At 36.4% G+C, this 19,427-nt stretch overlaps 1 protein-coding gene across 3 annotated transcripts in view; it reads left to right on the forward strand.

Annotated features, from left to right (window-relative positions):
* MFN1 (mitofusin 1) overlaps positions 1 to 19,427 on the forward strand; it is a 47,228-nt gene that overhangs the window by 10,386 nt on the left and 17,415 nt on the right. For 2 of the 3 annotated variants that reach the window (NM_033540.3, XM_005247596.5), the window contains exons 4-12: positions 746 to 908; positions 4,264 to 4,388; positions 6,203 to 6,311; positions 7,024 to 7,131; positions 9,345 to 9,498; positions 9,942 to 10,009; positions 17,126 to 17,247; positions 18,948 to 19,074; positions 19,250 to 19,354. In NM_033540.3, the coding sequence (NP_284941.2) occupies positions 746 to 908; positions 4,264 to 4,388; positions 6,203 to 6,311; positions 7,024 to 7,131; positions 9,345 to 9,498; positions 9,942 to 10,009; positions 17,126 to 17,247; positions 18,948 to 19,074; positions 19,250 to 19,354 (1,081 nt within the window). Of the gene's footprint in view, positions 1 to 745; positions 909 to 1,835; positions 3,141 to 4,263; positions 4,389 to 6,202; positions 6,312 to 7,023; positions 7,132 to 9,344; positions 9,499 to 9,941; positions 10,010 to 17,125; positions 17,248 to 18,947; positions 19,075 to 19,249; positions 19,355 to 19,427 lie in introns of those variants that run through there. The other variant, XM_011512963.4, reaches the window with a different exon arrangement.

Genomic DNA, 19,427 nt, shown 5'->3' on the forward strand with positions numbered 1-19,427 from the left:
ACCTGCATTGTCTTTTATGACCTAGTCTTGGAAGTCACCCAGTGTCACTCATTTTGTTTTTTTTTTTTTTTTTTGAGACTCAGTCTGGCTCTGTCGCCCAGGCTGGAGTGCAGTGGCGCGATCTTGGCTCACTGCAACCTCCACCTCCTGGGTGCAAGCGATTCTTCTGCCTCAGTCTCCTGAGTAGCTGGGATTACAGGGGCCCCCCCACCACACCTGGCTAATTTTTTGTATTTTTAGTAGAGATGGGGTTTCACCATGTTGGTCAGGCTGGTCCCGAACTCCTGACCTCAAGTGATCCACCCACCTTGGCTTCCCAAAGTGCTGGGATTACAGGCGTGAGCCACTGCGCCTGGCCACCCACTGTCACTTCTGATGTGCATTATTTGTTGAAGCAGTCACAAACCAGCCCAGATTTAAGGAGATGGGATATTAGACCCCATCTTGTGATAGGAGTAGTGTTGCAGAATTTTGACCTGTGATTTCGAATTGCCACAAAAAGCAAGAAAGAAAAGTTGAGGATACTACTGTGAGAAAGGTGGGATTTGTCTTCTTGCACTTTATTTTTTCTGAAATGTACATTGCTAGTATTTGTGTAAGCCAAGTGGTTAATCTTTTCATAAAAATGCAGTCTTAAGAAATCTTAACAAAATTTGGATTTTAAAAAAGTTGATATTAGACCCAGTGAAAGAACTACTTTTTTTACTGTTATGTTTTGTTTTTCATGATTTTGTATATTCTTCAGGACAAGCAGTGGGAAGAGCTCTGTTATCAATGCAATGTTGTGGGATAAAGTTCTCCCTAGTGGGATTGGCCATATAACCAATTGCTTCCTAAGTGTTGAAGGAACTGATGGAGATAAAGCCTATCTTATGACAGAAGGATCAGATGAAAAAAAGAGTGTGAAGGTATGATCTTTAACCTTTAGCAGAATAATATACCTGAAACAATGTCCTGAACTTATTCTTTAATAACATTTTTATAAGATGTCTGCATCGCTGACATCTTATAAAAAGAACTGTTAATATTTTTCTTTTTTTTTTTAGACGGAATTTCGCTCTTGTCGCCCAGGCTGGAGTGCAATGGCACAATCTCGGCTCACCGCAACCTCTGCCTCCCGGGTTCAAGCGATTCTCCTGCCTCAGCCTCCCAAGTAGCTGGGACTACAGGCGTGCGCCACCACACCCGGCTAATTTTTGTATTTTTAGTAGAGATGGGGGTTTCACCATCTTGGCCAGGCTGGTCTCAAACTCCTGACCTCATGATCCACCCACCTCGGCCTCCCAAAGTGCTGGGATTATAGGCGTGAGCCACTGCACCCGGCCTTTTTTTTTTTTTTTTTTTGACACTGAGTCTCACTCTGTCACCCGGGCTAGAGTACAGTGGCGTGATCTTGGCTCGCTGCAACCTCTGCCTCTTGGGTTCAAATGATTCTCCTGCCTCAGCCTCCTGAGTAGCTGGGATTACAGGTGCGCACCATCATGCCCAGCTAATTTTCGTACTTTTTTTTTTTTTTTTTTTTTTTATTAGAGACAGGGTTTCACCATGTTGGCCAGGCTGGTCTTGAACTCTTGACCTCAGGTGATCCATCCGCCTCAGCCTCCCAAAGTGCTAGGATTATAGGCATGCGCCACCACACCCGGCCAAAAAGCACTGTTAATATTTCTAACTTTGAAAGCCATCACTAAGTATTTTGAGTACTCTAAATTTTTTTTTCACTTCATAACTAAATTAGTGAAAAAATAAAACTTGTCCTTAATTTAAAGGTATATTAGAATTAACAAGTTTTTTAAATCTACCCTTCCAGTGAGACTAACATTATTTTAGTTATTTATTTGTTTTTAGATGGAATCTTGCTCTGTTGCCCAGGCTGGAGTGCAATGGCACGATATTGGCTAGCAACCTCCACCTCCTGGGCTCAAGTGATTCTCCTCCCTCAGCCTCCCGAGTAGCTGGGATTACAGGCATGCACCACCACACCTGCCTAATTTTTGTAATTTTAGTAGAGACTGGGTTTCACCATATTGCCCAGGCTGGTCTTGAACTCCTGACCTCAGGTGATCCACCTGCCTTGGCCTCCCAAAGTGCTGAGATTACAGGCGTGAACCACCACGCCCGGCTGAGACTAACATTATTGAAGTGTATCATTGCTGTTTAATCGTGTATCATTGCTGTTTAATCTCAAATTTGTCCCACCTTGGCCTCCCAAAGTGTTGTGGTTACAGACTTGTGCCACCATGCCTGGCCTCCGATTTGTCTTTTTGAAACAGAATTGCTTAAGAAATTGGGCCCTGGCATCTGTTTTTGATATGTATCTGTGTTTTTAGAAACTGTCTTACCTCAGGATTATGTAGTAAGTATATTTATGAATAAATATTTTAACTTTATCAGATGAGGGCCAATGGCAATTCCCTACCTTTCATAAATTTCTCAATTCAGTGCCACTCCTTCAGCCAAAAAAAAAAAAAAATAAAAGGAAAAACAAATTAGGATGCAAAATGTTGACTCTGGACTGAAAGCAGTTAGTTAAGGCACTGTTTCTCATTGTGGTTACTTTCTCTTGAGTCTAAAGATCTCTTCCACAAACACAAAAGTTCAGTGCTTGATGATCCATGCTATTTTATTTCTTGGTAAAGTCATGGGTGGTTCTTCTTTGTGAATTTGCTCTTTGATGTAAATCAGGTAACTCAATCTGTAAGTTTTAGAATAAGCATACCCTTCAGATTAGTTATTAGAAAAATGAGATGATGTTTATGAAAATACTATTCAAGGCCGGGCACAGTGGCTCACGCTTGCAATCCTAGCACTTGAGCTGGTCGGATTGCTTGAGACCAGCCTGAGCAATATAGTGAGACCCCATCTCTACAAAAAATACAAAAATTAGCCAAGCATAGTGGCGCATACCTGTAGTCCCAGCTACCCGAGTGGCTGAGGTGGGAGGATTGGTTGAATCTGGGAGGTTGAGGCTTCAGTGAGCCGTGATCACTCAGCCTGGGAAATGGAGCAAGACACTGTCTCGAAAAGAAAAGAAAATACTAATCAAGCTTTTAATTCATATAAATGAAGGAATCACTGTTGTTTTGTGATTAAGATTTTTAGCAAATCAAAATTCAAACTTCTCGTGACTTCAGAGTCTCAAAGTATGCTGTTATTTTAAAGAAATCATCTCTCATTTTCCTGATCCATGCTCTTCCAGTCCTCTTCACACTCTTTTCCTCCTCCTTATTTTAGATTCAGGGGTTGGTTACATGTACAGGTTTATCACATGGATGCATTGTGTGATGGATAGGTCTGGGCTTCAACTGAGCCCGTCACCCAAATAGTGAATGTAGCATTCAGTAGTTTTTCAGCTCTTGTCACCTTCCACCTTTACCCCTGTAGTAGCTCCCAGTGTTTATTGTTCCCATCTTTATTTCTGTGTGTACCCAAATGTTTATCTCTCACTTTTTTTTTTTTTTTGGAGACAGAGTCTTGCTCTGTTGCCCAGGCTGGGGTGCAGTGGCGTGATCTTGGCTCACTGCAACCTTCACCTCCTGGGTTCAAGCAATTCTCCTGTCTCCGCCTCCCGAGTAGCTGAAATTAGAGGCACGTGCCACCATGCCCAGCTAATTTTTGTATTTTTTGTAGAGACAGGGTTTCATGATGTTGTCCAGGCTGGTCTCAAAACTCCTGACCTCAGTTGATCCACCTGCCTCGGCCTCCCAAAGTGCTGGAATTACTGGCATGAGCCACCGCCCCCGGCCTAGCTCTCACTTTTAAGCAAGAAGATGCAGTATTTGGTTTTCTGTTTCTGCATTAATTGACTTAGGATAATGGCCTCCAGCTCCATCCATGTTCCTGCAAAAGACTTGATTTCATTCCTTTCTATGGGGTGTTAAAAGCTATGTAATTTTAACCTGTTTTAATAATGACATTTCTTCTAATGACATTTCTTCCATATGACTAAGTGATACACATTTATTTCAGTAGAATCAGAAAATACAAATAGGCAAAAAGAACAGAGACTCCAGAACTTATATACTTCACAAAATCAGTATCAGGAGTTGCTTAGAATTCTGTTGCTGGAGTTCTTTTTGAGGGAACCATTTTTTTTCTACTTGGAAATTTAAAAATTCAGGTTCTCAAGATTGCTCAGAAGGTTTTATTTCAGAGTTTTACCTTTTATATACCTGTTTTGCTAAAATAAATGTACCACAATGTTTTTAATTTTTATTGAATTTTATTACAAGTGGAGTTTATTTTTTTCTTTTCCTCCTGCTTTAGACAGTTAATCAACTGGCCCATGCCCTTCACATGGACAAAGATTTGAAAGCTGGCTGTCTTGTACGTGTGTTTTGGCCAAAAGCAAAATGTGCCCTCTTGAGAGATGACCTGGTGTTAGTAGACAGGTAAAATTACATGTGGATTGCATTTTCTCTGGAAGTTTATTTAATAGTATAATACTGCTTACTTTAGCATATGGTATAAAAAATTACAACATTCAGTTGCCATTTTGTTCTCATTAGCTAGATTAAGGAAGAGATATGGTATTGGTTTTATTTTATAAGTTACATAAAAGCACCAATTCATCACTCTGATTCCATTTCAAGAAATTTTAAGGATGGCCACTTTTTTTGGCCAGAGTGCAGTGCCGCAGTGCCACGATCTTGGCTCACTGCAACCTTCGCCTGCCGGGTACAAGTGATTCTCCCACCTCAGTCTCCTGGGTAGCTGGGATTACAGACACACACCAGCCACCTCACCTGGCTCCATTTTGTTTTTGATAATGGATTTTCCTTTTAAATGGAAATGAGTGTTTCAAGTAATCCATAGAAACAGAGGAGAGAGAAGATGTTCATGACACCAAGATATTTGGTTTAAATACAATGTTAACTAGTTTAGCTTTATTTCATAGCCAGATTGTATCTATGACCCAGTCAGTCAAGATTGACAGTTGGATAGATACAAGAAAATATGAATGAGATCTAGTATTTGGTACCAAAATGGGTAACGGTAGTGAAAAATAATTGATTTTTATTTATTTTTTTGAGACAGAGTCTCACTCTGTCACCTAGGCTGGAGTACAGTGGCGCAGTGTCAGCTTGCTGCAACCTCCCCCTCCGGGGTTCAAGCCATTCTTGTGCCTCAGCCTCCTGAGTAGCCACCACGCCTGGCTAATCTTTGTATTTTTTGGTAGAGACGGGGATTCACCATGTTGGCCAGGCTGGTCTCAAACTCCTGGCTTCAAGTAATCCCCCCATCTCAGCCTCCCAAAGTGCTGAAATGACAGGTGTGAGCTGCCGTACCTGGCTGAATAACAATTTAATTGTACATTTAAAAATAACTAAAAGAATATAATTGTATTGTTTGTAATACAAAGAATAAATGCTTGAGGTGATAGATACCTCGTTTACCACGTGATTTTTTTTTTTTTCGGAGGCAGGGTCTTGCTGTGTTGCCCAGTCTGGAGTGCAGTGGTGGGATCATGGCTTATTGCAAACTCCGCTTCCCAGTCTTAAGCAACCCTTCCACCTCAGCCACCAGAGTAGCTGGGGCTACAGGGGCATGCCACCAAGCCTAGCTAATTTTTTTTTTGTGTATGTGGAGTCAGGGTTTTGTCATGTTGCTCAGGCTGGTCTCAAAGTCCTGGACTCAAACTCCCGCCTTGGCATCCCAAAATGCTAGGATTATAGGAATATGCCACTGCACTCAGCCCCTGATGTGATTATTACACATTGTATGCTTGTATCAAAATACTTCATATACCTCATAAATATGTATACTTAATTAATATATACCCATAAAAATTTTAAATGAATAAATTTTTTAACTTTTTACAAATATTTATTGTTGGCAAATTCTTCACTGCAGCTCCTAGTACAGTTGGTATATTAAATTTATATTTTTTTATTTGTGTTTATAAGTGCTTAAATCATCTCTGAGCCATACTGGATATAGCTGCTTGAACCCTCATTGTTTAGTATCTATTAGCCTAGTTTTATATTTCAGCCATCTAAAGCATAAACATTAAAAAGATTGAAATATTGAGCATGTTATTTGCTTTGTCAAAGATCACTAAGTTAAAATTTCCTAGACTTCTTACAGATGACAGCTGGAAATCCTGGTTTTTAAACTTCAAATTATATATAAAAGCTGAAAAAATTCTGTAACCCAAATTTTCTTTTTAAGAAATATAATACAATTTTTATTTCACTCTCATTAGTCCAGGCACAGATGTCACTACAGAGCTGGATAGCTGGATTGATAAGTTTTGCCTAGATGCTGATGTCTTTGTTTTGGTCGCAAACTCTGAATCAACACTAATGAATACGGTAGGATTTAATCATATTATTGTGTTTCGATGGTAGGAAATGAAATGGTATCTGTTTTAATTCTGAAAAGCAAGGGAAATCCATATCGTGGATTAGAAAAAACTTCTAAAAACAGGCATGAATGAAGGGGTTTGTGTTTTCATAGAACCAGAAGGGCTGTTTCTAGTCTTTCTATAGTGTGTAGTTCCCTGGATTTCTCTAGCAGTATAGGGCTTGATGGTTCTAGCTTCTGGTTATTTGTCAGTCTCAGGGAAAATGAGTGCCAGAAATTTTAGGATGCTTATTTAAGTCTCTTGAATAAAGTATAAACCACTCCTTCCTTCTGCCATCTATCAGGCAAGGCTTTTTATATTTTCAGTATTGTCAGCTATTTCCAGCTTCACCAGAATATACTCCAGGTTTCAGCTTAACTGTGTACACTTTAAGCTGCTGTCAGACTTAGAAGATTATTTAGCCAGATGTCTGGAGCCAGACTCATCTGAAATAAACTTTCCAGAGTTTAGGTAATCTAATATTCAAAATTATAACATGATTTTTTAAAGTTATCAGTTTTTTTCATCTTTGAAAGTTTAATGCTCATAGAGTGCTTTGGGATCCTTTGTCAGTGGTGTTAATTACTGTTTAAATGGTTCAGACTTTCTCATTAAAATAAAATTTCAATTATAAATGTAAATTATAGTGAATGTACTGTGGGGTTTTTTTTGTTTTTCAGGAAAAACACTTTTTTCACAAGGTGAATGAGCGGCTTTCCAAGCCTAATATTTTCATTCTCAATAATCGTTGGGATGCCTCTGCATCAGAGCCAGAATATATGGAAGACGTAAGTTGTTATTTTTTTTTTTGTAGGTTTTGAAATACAGTCACATACATTGTTATTTGAGAAAACAATATTGCTTATAGAATAGAAAATTATAAGAGCTATTCCATGAAAAGAAGATAGTTAGAGAAAACCTGAAGTAGGTATGTGATAAAGACCAAAGTCTGAAGTTACTTTGAGGGAAAATTGTGTTATACTATCTAGTTATTTCAAAGCTTGAAAGTTCTTTTTTGTTTAAGTTGTTATTGAAATGTACATAACAGAAAAGTACATAAATCGTAAGTGATCCTTCCAGTTTGGCTTCCTAAAGTGCTGGGATGACAGGCCTGAGCCACCATGCCTGGCCAAATTTTACAAATTTAACACACCTGTTTCAAAATCCAGATCAAAAAGCAGACCATTCTGAACACCCCAGAACCTTCCTCTTACCTACCTCCTTCTAACTTCCCTTCTGTCCTACTTCCCAAGGAGAAATTATCCATTTATCATGACTTCTGACCCCCTAAATTAATCTTTCTGGTTGTTCAACTTTATATAACAGAATTATATAATACCTGCTCTTGCATCTGTTTTTGTTTTTATTTAACGTGTTTGTCATATGTGTCCATATTATTGTGCGTAGCATAGTTGTATTGCATTCCCATTGCTGTATAGTATTCCATCTGTGACTATACTACAATTGATTTATTCACAGTGATGGGCATTTGGGTTAATTTACTGTATTCAGTTATGAATGCTACTGTGCATATGCTTGTATATGTCCTTCTGGTATGCATATGTATGCATTTTTGTTAGGTAGTTCTCAGTGTGGAGGATGGACAGTTTTGACCTCAATGGGATATTTGGCAGCATCTGAAGATACTTTTTTTTTGTTACAATTGGGGTTTTGTGCTACTGGCATCTAATGAGTAGAGGTTAGAGATGCTGTTACACATGCTCTGACACAGAACAGGCCCCCAAGCAAACACTGGCCAATCCAAAACGTCAGTAATGCAGACGTCAGTAAACCATGGGTATATGTACTTAGAGGTAAAACTGCTAGATTACAAGTTAAGAATATGTTCGATTTTAGTAAATATATAGCACCAGAGTTCTCCAAAGTGCTTGGTGTCGATTTATACTCCTGCCAGCAGATTGAGTTTCATAAGATTTGCATCCTCAACTTTTTTTTTTTTTTGGCATTTTAGTCACACCAATTGTAGAAACTTAAAAAGAAGTATCTGGAATTTGAACTATAAATAATATTTATTTAATTTGCTTGAGACTATTTCTGATTTTAATAGTAGTACGAGATTATTATATGTAGAGGACAAGATAAAAATAACTTAAACTATCCCATCACTGTTCACATGATAAAATTATTTGCTTTCATTTTTCCCCAATTGGAATTTTGCATAACATCATGTTTTATATCCTCCTGTCATTAACTGTTGTCTTACAGTCTTGCTCTTTCAAATTGGGGTCTCAGAATTAGGAAGCATCACTCATAAATTATTTTTCCTTAAATATTTCAGCATTCCTATTTAGATTTATTTTTGCAAGTCTTAATATAGAGATCTCTCATCATAGCCATAATACTAAAGACTAGTACTAAATCCTAACTTCTAACCCTTAATCTTCACTTCAGTGCCCAAGTGGTAATCTTGAACCCAACATTGCAATTCTAATGCCTGGTTAATGCATTCTACCCAACCTTAACTCCCCAACCTTAACTTTGTTTTTTGAGACGGAGTCTTGCTCTGTCACCCAGGCTGGAGTACAGGGGCACGATCTTGGCTCACTGCAGCCTCCACCTCCTGGGCTCAAGCGACTCTCCTGCCTCAGCCTGCCCAGTAGCTGGGATTACCGGCACCTGCCACCACACCCAGCTAATTTTTGTGTTTTTAATAAAGACGAGGTTTCACCATGTTGTCCAGGCTGTTCTCAAACTCCTGACCTCGTGATCTGCCCGCCTTGGCCTCCCAAAGTGCTGGGATTGCAGGCGTGAGCCACTGTGCCCAGCAGAATTTTAAATAGATGTTCAAAAGACAGAATCGTTAAGAGAAAGATTTCCTGTCATCAAGTATCAAACTTCATTTATTAGAATTTCTTAAATTCATTAGTTATATGGTAACTTTTATTATATCACTGTGAATAAAGTAAGTATTGGTCTATAGTCGTTGGTTATTATATTTGTTTAAATTATTAGAATTCTTTTAATACCGTTTTCTCTGTAGGTACGCAGACAGCACATGGAAAGATGCCTGCATTTCTTGGTGGAGGAGCTCAAAGTTGTAAATGCTTTAGAAGCACAGAATCGTATCTTCTTTGTTTCAGCAAAGGAAGTTCTTAGTGCTAGAAAGCAAAAAGCACAGGGGATGCCAGAAAGTGGTATGCATTACCTATAGATTTCCTGTTTAAATATAAAAATATTTAAAATTGGCTGGGTGCGGTGGCTCACGCCTGTAATCCCAGCACTTTGGAAGGCTGAGGCGGGCGGATCATGAGGTCAGGAGTTTGAGACCAGCCTGGCCAACATGGTGAAACCCCATCTCTACTAAAAATACAAAAATTAGCTGGGCATGGTGGTGCACACCTGTAATCCCAGCTTCTTGGGGGGCTGAGGCCAGAAAATTGCTTGAACCCAGGAGGCGGAGGTTGCAGCGAGCCAAGATTGCGCCATTGCACTCCAGCTCTGGGCAACAGAGCAAGACTCTGTCTCGGGGGAAAAAGTATATATATATATATATATTTAAAATTATAAAATCAGTAGCCTACCAGAAAACATATCTTGCTACATACTAGGTTTTTAAATCTTTGCCTGTACGTTACAGGTGTGGCACTTGCTGAAGGATTTCATGCAAGATTACAGGAATTTCAGAATTTTGAACAAATCTTTGAGGTAGGAATTTTGTGATTGTATTGCCTAATACAAAACTCTTTCTTTGGTTGGAGAAAGCATAATCTTCTATTTTTATCCTTTGTCTTTGTCAATAACTTTTGCTGTTATTTAGTTTAGTTACTGACACAGCCAGTAAAATGTGGAAAGTGAAGAAAAGGAGCCCCTGCAAAATGATTTGTAAGAATTGAGAATTAAAGATTGTAATTTATTCCTTATTCTTATTTTTATGTATTTTATATAAATAAGAAACTGTGTTTCAATATTGCTGTGTTGTGCAATGAATGAAATTCCCTGTATTCAATAATTTGGAACAAGAGTAAACAAGCGTAATTGCTGTTGGAATGGATAATAGAGCAAAGTAAGCATTATCCTTTTTTACTTTGTGCCGCATGACTAATAGAAGTATACAAAACATGATTAATGCCATTTGACAAAATTTTATTATATTTATATACTGTGTTACCACATGTCCATTCTCCATATTTTGTGCCAAACATTCTAAATGAATAATTGAGTAGAAAAGAGCTTCAGCGTTTTCAGAAACTTCTAGGAAACTATTGAAGTGCCTGAGTGGTAGATGGGGAGGGAGGCTAGTTTCTTATGTTGCATTGTAAGTGTTTTTATTCAGAGACATTAAAACTCACCCTACATTTGACTGAATAGTTCTTTAGATATTAACCTTCTGAACCCCTATTTTGCCCTGTATAATTCATATCACCTTCCCACTTAGGAATGAACACAGTGACTTCAGCATTGAAGAAACCTCAGTCTGTAATTATTCTTATAAGTAGTAACTGCTTTAATGTAAAGGGGACATGAATGTTGAGTATACTTGGCAGGATTTTTAAAATAAAAAATGTGCTTACTATCTCTCATCTTTAATTTGGTGAGAGAAAAAAGGTTATTAGACAGATGAAGACAAACTGGAAGAAAGCAAATCCACTGCCAGCTATCTCGATAAGATCTAATTGTTCAGAGGCTACTGGATTATCAGTAGATGTCCTCTCAAGCCAAGCTATAGGATACGTGAAGTCCCCGTTACTCAAAGACTATTGTTTGTTTTTTTTCTTTTCCTTTTGCTTTCACCAAAGGGTTGATGCTCTCCTCACCTCTTTTTTCTCTTAAAGAAATGGGATCTCCCTCTGTTATCCAGGCTGGAGTGCAGTTGGGCAATCATAGCGCATTGCAGCCTCGAACTCCTGGGCTCAAATGATCCTCCCACCTCAGCCTCCTCTCCTCACTGTTATCAGTTATTTCATCCATGGGGAAAATATGTAGGGAGAGGATCTATTCTACTTCCTTGTCTTTATTTACTGACCTTAGTATATATGTGTTTTATGTATGTTTATCATTGATTTCTTCTAAATTATACATTTATATAATGTATAATTGTGTAATGTTCTGTTACACATTTATACTGCTTCCATATTGGTTCATGGTATAGCTTGTGCTTCCCAAGAATATCTCGTTGAGGAGGTGGGAATGAGAAGAATAAGATATGCTGTAGGGAATTGGTTCATAAGCCTAGCTGATCATCAGAATCACATGACGTGCTTTAGAGAACCACAGGCTCCTGACCTATCCTATCCCCAACCCCAGATCCAGGGGGTTGGGGTTGGTCTAGGAATCTATATACATATATATTCAAAGTTCCCCAAGTGATTGCAATAATCAGACAGACTTAGGAACTATTCTTTTTAAATGTTTTTAGAGGAAACTTGGCAGTTTATGTTTTATTCTAATGGTCCATTTGGGATTCTAAAATTTATGTATGGAAAAAATTGCTTATGAGCAGTAGCTTTTTGTTTTTACTTAAAGTCATGGAATGTCCAGCTTTAGAGTTTGAAAATTTTAAGTCTGAAATATCTAAAATGAGAATCAGTTAAAAATTATTTGAATTTTTCCAAACAATCAGCTGGGCAAAAAATATTATGTCTGAATGTATTAAAAAGAGACAAAACATTTTTTGTTAATTAATTACATTGAAAGTTTTAGTCAGCTTTATTCCAAAACTGGTATTTGTTACTTCTTAAGTCAGTTTTGGTAATTTCTGATTTCTTAGAAATTGGTGTATTTCTGAACATTTATAATTTAGTAGCATAAAATTGTTTGTTTTGAATCTCTTGTTTCTCACTTCTATATTTAAATATAAATATATATCTACATATACATACACACACAGACCCTTAATGGGTTTGCCAATGATTTATCATCCAAAGACACAGCCCCAGCTCTTATGTAATTTATCACTTAATAAATATCATTTTTGGGGTTTCATTCACTAAGTTCTTTTTTTTTTTTTTTTTTTTTTTGAGACAGAGTCTCGCTCTGTCGCCGCCAGGCTGGAATGAGGGAGTGAGTGCAGCGGCGCGATGTCAGCTCACTACAACCTCCGGCTCCTGGGTTCAAGGGACTCTTCTGCCTCAGCTTCCCTAGTAGCTGGGACTACAGGGGCACACCACTACATCCGGCTAATTTTTGTATTTTTAGTAGAGACGGGGTTACACAGTGTTGGCCAGGATGGTCTCGATCTCCTGACCTCATGATCCACCCGCCTTGGCCTCCCAAAGTGCTGGGACTACAGGCGTGAGCCACCGTGCCTGGCCTGTGTTCGTCTTTAACATTGTTTACGTTGAAGATGCATTGGTTTTTGCTTATTCTTAAAGAAAAGATTCAGGATTGTGAATTTGTGACTGCAGCTTTAGGCGTATCCCAAGGTTTTCAGTACTAGTTTAGTTTTTGTTGTTTTTGTTTCTAATTATCCTTTTGGCATTTCCTTATCAATATAAGACTTTTTAAAATTCAAGTGTTTTGATTCATTTTATCCAATTTTTGGTTACTAATTTCTTGGTTTCTTTGTGTTGTGGTCACATCATGTGGCTTTTACACACATTTTCTCTGTTTTGGGGATTTGCTTACTTTTTTTTGTAGTCGTGCAAGATTTTTTGTGAAAAGAAAAACTGTATCAAGTTCATCACCTTTATCAATTTGACCTGTGCCGTGAACTTCTTTAGATTCATTTGATTCAAATGGATCTAAGTATTTTAAACATTTAGAATACTAATTTAAGCAAGGCTTGAAAATTAAATGGAGTAAAAGCAATAAAAAAAATCAATATTAGCCTGGGCATTGGTGGCTCATGCCAGTAATGCCAGTACTTTGGGATGCCAAAGCAGGAAGATCTCTTGAGCTTAGGAGATTGAGATCAGGTTGGGCAAAAACATGAAAAGACTAAATCACATCTCTAGCAGGAAAAAAAAAAATCCAGATATGATAGCTCATGACTATAGTCACAGCTACCCCAGAGGCTGAGGTAGAAGGCCAAGAAGTTTGAGGCTGTGGTGATGGTGAGCTATGGAGGTACCACTGTGCTCCAACCTGTGTGACAGAGTGAGACTCTCTTTTCTTTCAAAAAAAAGGAAGAAAGGAAAATCAATGTTAGTCTGTCAATACATTTTCTTATTGTTTTAAAACTGTATTTGGAAAGTTTCAAAATGCATTTGGACTGCATTGTTCTAAAGGCAAGTTAGAAATCCAAATATCTTTTGCACAGTTATTTCACCATTAATTCTTACTAGTTTTGGTTGTATGATGGGAGATAGACGTATAAAAATAACTTATTTAAAATGTCAGTGGATTTTTTTGTAATGGACATTCCTGGATGATAGGTGAAATTTGAACATGAACTGTTTGTTAGATAATAGTATTGTCTCAATGGTAAATATTCTGAATACAATTGTTTTGTGATTGTGCAAATGTTTTCTTTCTTAGAAGACAAGTATTGATGTGTTAGGTAACAAGCTTGTGATGTAGTAATGACCTGTCAAAATGTTCAGGAAGGAAAATAATACATAAGTATATATAAAAATATATGCCTCTCTTTATATATATGGGGGTCATACATTTTATATATTCATTGCAAGACATGTATTATATATATTATATATATTTATTATATATTATATATTATATAATACATATATAAATATTATATATAATGTTATATATAAATATTATATATATATGCCCTCACACAGGAGAGAGAGTATCGAGCGCGAGTATGGAGGGAGGGGAGAAGTAAACAAAAGGGGCTGAATGTTAATATTTGATATATCTAGATGAAAGGTCTATTTCTTGCACTTTCTATTGAAAGTATATCAAAATAAGTTGGCAGTGATGAGTAGCATGTTAGGTGTTTGTAGGGTCTGTTTTCAAGGGAAATTGACAAGTTTGTTGGTTTTATGTTTTAATTACATATATAAATTTATATTATTAATGTATGATTAGAGTTCCTGATAAAATAAATCTGGGAACTGCTGCATATTATATATGTTCCCCATAGAGATTAATTAGCATATTAGTGTAGTAAGGATGCTGAGAAATAACTTAGAAGGGGAACTTTATTTAAATTAACACTTCCCATACTTATTTGGAGTAAAATGTTCTTTTTTCAAGGTACCTCTTAAATATCCTACAGATCAGTGGGAACACCAATGTGGGATTACTTTTTAATTGATTATTTTCTTCTCTATACTTACTCATCATTATATATTTTTGAATCAGACAGTAACTTATATTGCCTAATAACTTTTGGAGATCTTTTCTGTCTCGTCTAGCTCTAACACTGTGCTGTTATCTACAAATTTGGATCTTCATTGCTGATATCTAGATCTGCTTCATCGAGGAATATAGACTTTATTTTAATCTTTTTCCTTTTAAAAATATTTTTGTTTTTATAATTTTGCAGAAGTTAATTTGACACATTTATGAGGCATTTATTTAAAATAAAGTCAATGCATTATTTTAGTTATTAAAAAATAAGTAGTTTACAAATGTTCACTATTATGTAATTATTGGTGATTTTAAAGAAGAAAACATCCGGGTATGTTTTATCTTTAGGTGTGTACAGAACAGGAATGCTATAACTTCCTACATTAATTTTTTCAAAATCAGTGAAAATAAGTGATGCATAAATGAGCTTCACCATGGGAAAAAATGAAGCTAGGCAATGCAAGAAAGTAATGGCTTCAGAGTTAAATATTGACTAAATTAATTACCCTCATGTGCTCTATAGCTAAATAATCTGTTTTGTTTTCTCTACCTCAAACGAAATGCTGAAGAGGGGAGCTAAAATGGCAGTAGAGATTATAGTCTTTCTGAGTGCTCAAATAATTTCAGAGACATGAAGGCTAAGCATAGGTCGTAAATAGGACATTGAATGCACGTGTAGCATCCTGATGATTTCAGGATAAGAAATGTAGCACTAGAGTATTAAGTAAATGCCTTTTGAAGCCTAAAAGCCATTTATTAAAGGAAGGATAGTAATGAACTTCAGGAAGCAATTACCACAATTTGTATTAGCTAAATATATAGAGGTTCGAGAAGATGAATTCATTGGAGTATCAGAGAATTAATATATCCCTAATTTTTAAAAAATTTATCATAGAAAATAAACATGTCTCTTATAAAACATCTATAGTACTTACTGTGCTATATTTCAGTGCAGAATTTGACTTTCTGTGAAGTAAAAATGAAATAAGACAAATTGTAATATAAAAATTTTATAAATTTTTATTTATTTATTTTTTGAGACAGAGTCTCGCTCTGTCGCCCAGGCTGGAGTGCAGTGGCGCTATCTCAGCTCACTGCAAGCTCCACCTTCCGGGTTCTCGCCATTCTCCTGCCTCAGCCTCCCGAGTAGCTGGGACTACAAGCGCGTGCCACCATACCCAGCTAATTTTTTGTATTTTTAGTAGAGATGGGGTTTCACCATGTTAGCCTGGATGGTCTCAATCTCCTGACCTCGTGATCTGCCCGCCTCGGCCTCACAAAGTGCTGGGATTACAGGAGTGAGCCACCACGCCCGGCCCAATTTTATAAATTTTAAATGATAAATCATAGTAAATATATATTTATAGGATGGGCGTGGTGGCTCACTCTTGTAATCCTAGCACTTTGTGAGACTGAGACAGGCAGATGACTTGAGGTCAGGAGTTGAAGACCGGCCTGGCCAACACTGCAAAACCCTAACTCTACTAAAAATGTAAAAATTAGCCAGGCATAGTGGTGCATGCCTGTAATTACAGCTACTTGGGAGGCTAAAGTAGGAGAATCACTTGAACCTAGGCGGTGGAGGTTGCAGTGAGTCGAGATCATGCCATTGCACTCCAGCCTTGGTGACAGTGCAAGACTGTCAAAAATATATATATAACATATATAACATATATATGTAATATATATATAACATATATAACATATATATGTAATATATATATAACATATATAACATATATATGTAATATATATATATAAGATAACAAGTATTCTATATATTGAAAATTGAAACAAATGTGAAATGTATCCATTGATAAATGTGATGCATTGTGACGTATTTTTTATTTAAATAAACACTGGTTATAAAACACTGATTTATAACAACTATTTTAAATGGGTTGTTAGCTTGAAGATAAATGAGATAGGGCATGATTCAGGTTTCTGTGTACACACTATATTCTAATGAAAGTAATTACAATTATCTTCTAAACAGCTGCAGATATTTTTTCTATAAACAATTTTAGATGTTACATTGTTAAATGTTAGCTTTCAAATTCTTCACATTTTAACTCAATGAAGTCCTTTTTAGCAAACTTACAGGAATCATTGTATCATTCAGCTATTAAATAAGGAATTGTTCTAATTCACATCTTAATTAAGAACTTTACTAGGTTATATCTTTTGCAAGTATGAGAATAATCTAGATAGAAGGACTAGAATTGGATTAAAGGTGATCCAGATAAAAATAGTAATTCTAATGAGGAAATTTTTTAACATTGAAAATAGTACCCTGTTTATTTTTTTTAATGTTAGAGTCAAACCATTGCACATTACTGTGTAAAAATACACAAAGATGGTAACTTGCTGCTAAAGCCCTTTTTACTTTTGAATCTTTGTATTTTTTTCACCTTTGTAATTTTAAGTTGTGCTTTTATCACTCATTTGTTTTCTATCTTTATTTCTGTTTGGGTTAAAGTTACAAACAGCAAGTTTTTGTGTTTAAATTCCTGAAAATGTTGCGATGGAATTACAGTAATGTGTTACGGCTTGGGCCCCTCGCAGGAGTGTATCTCGCAGTCAGCAGTGAAAACAAAGTTCGAACAGCACACTATCAGAGCTAAACAGATACTAGCTACTGTGAAAAACATAATGGATTCAGTAAACCTGGCAGCTGAAGATAAAAGGTATGAGTTCATTTTGTTGCAACATAAAAATGTTAGTTTTTTTGTCAGACTTTTGTTAAGATGAGGTTTTAAATTGTTGTACTATAAATACTTTTTACACTGAAATCAACCTTGTGGGTTTAACTGATGCCTACTTCTATATTTTTAAGTGCGTATTTGAAAGTGTCGATATTTATTCTGCAACCTTGCACACATCATTTATATCCCCTGGACCTCACTATTCCTGTGTATGAATTGTGATTTTTAAAATGTTTTGTGGCTTTAAAATATCTTTGAAGCAGTGGAAGAACCATTTCTTCAAGCAGATTTTTATGAAGAAGTCCAAAACAGGTGATCCTCTTTCTGCATTCAACCCACGACCCATTTTTTAATATGGTCATACATTGGTATTTTGAAATCACTATTTTATACTAGTTGTGTTTGTTTATTGCCTGGTGAACAAACAAGGCGATGCTACCTGCCAACCAGAAAGTTGATTTGGTAAGCAGTACCCTTTATGTTATACTGTACGGCATTATTTTATACTATTTGTTACCTTGTAAAGGTGGCAATGAATACATGAAAATACCAGCATTATCGATACAAAGTATAATTTTCACAAACTTGGTATGCTTGAAACACAGATCGGGATGTTATTAGATGTGACAAAAGTAATGATGTTAAGCCTCGATAGGACCTTCAGTGGACTTAAGCCAGTTGAAGGAAACATAAACGCATCAAAGCTTAAGTCCAAGATGACATAACATTGGAATTTTAAATGTATTTGCTCTTTCAGGGAACAAAGACCCCTTCATGTCCCTGTCTGTTGCTTTATAATGGTACTTTCTTAGGAATGAATTAAGTTCAAATGCAGAGAATTGCCAGCATATAAAACGCAAGGATCAGAACCCTGAGTTTGAACTCAGCCCCTGTGTACAGCCTCCGTGTGGCCTCTGTTTAATTAGATCGTGCTGCTATAGCAGTTCCTTCTAGCTCAGTTGCTTTGATGTAGTACCCAAATTTTGGCCTAAAAGTGATTTAATTAGTAATAATTTTTAAAGATATAGGATGTTGAACAAAGTATAGCACAAAGAAGATGTGATTTGAGGATTGTATAATCATAATGTCCTGGGAACTTCTTAAGTAAAAGATCTTCTTAAATGGATCTCAGGTCTTTATTTTCCTGTATCAGCCAGAGTTGAACAAACTTTTGTTTAAAAAAAGAGCCAGATAGTAAATATTCTAGGCTTTATGGGCCATAAAGTCTCTTGGAGCTACTCATTTCTACAGTTTTAGAGCAAAAGCAGCCATAGATAGATAATAGGTAAATGAATGGGTGTGGCTGTGTTTCAAGAAAACTTTAACAAAAGCTGGCAGCTGGCTAGATTTGGCTTGTAAGGTGCTATATGCTGACCCCTGCTTATTAACTAAAGTCAGTATTGCATTCTGTTTTGCCTGTTCATATCTATGAAGACTTAGAATTCTTATTCATCCTTTCTGGGATTCAGGTGCCACATGGGCAGAGAAACGTGGTTTCTATCAAATCATCTATATAAAATACTTTATAAGTGAAATATTACTTGAATCCTTTGAGATGTTACAAGTTTTTTTTTTCCTTGAGTCATGCTAATAGATGGTTCAATACATGAATGAGTCCCTTGCTGAAATGCTTTAGGACTTCAGACTACCCTGAACGTTGATTACTCTTTATACTGAAATAGGCATTATTCAGTGGAAGAGAGGGAAGACCAAATTGATAGACTGGACTTTATTCGAAACCAGATGAACCTTTTAACACTGGATGTTAAGAAAAAAATCAAGGAGGTTACCGAGGAGGTGGCAAACAAAGTGGGTAACAGTAGCTTCATGATTAAAATAACCTGGATGGAAATTATTTTTGATAATGCTAAAAATGTTATTCCTGTTACTTTAAAAGAATGTTTTCAGATTTTTCAATTTAATTTTTTTGAATAATTGATAATCTTGTTTAATTATTTTAACTCCAAAATTTTCATATTTTCAGGTTTCATGTGCAATGACAGATGAAATTTGTCGACTGTCTGTTTTGGTTGATGAATTTTGTTCAGAGTTTCATCCTAATCCAGATGTATTAAAAATATATAAAAGTGTAAGTTAAAGTATAGATAAAATTATTCAGAGACAGTTTCTTATTATTCTATACCCTCATTTATTTCATGGTT

This window comes from Homo sapiens, chromosome 3 (assembly GCF_000001405.40).
Source record: "Homo sapiens chromosome 3, GRCh38.p14 Primary Assembly".
Classification (NCBI taxonomy): Eukaryota; Metazoa; Chordata; class Mammalia; order Primates; family Hominidae; genus Homo; species Homo sapiens.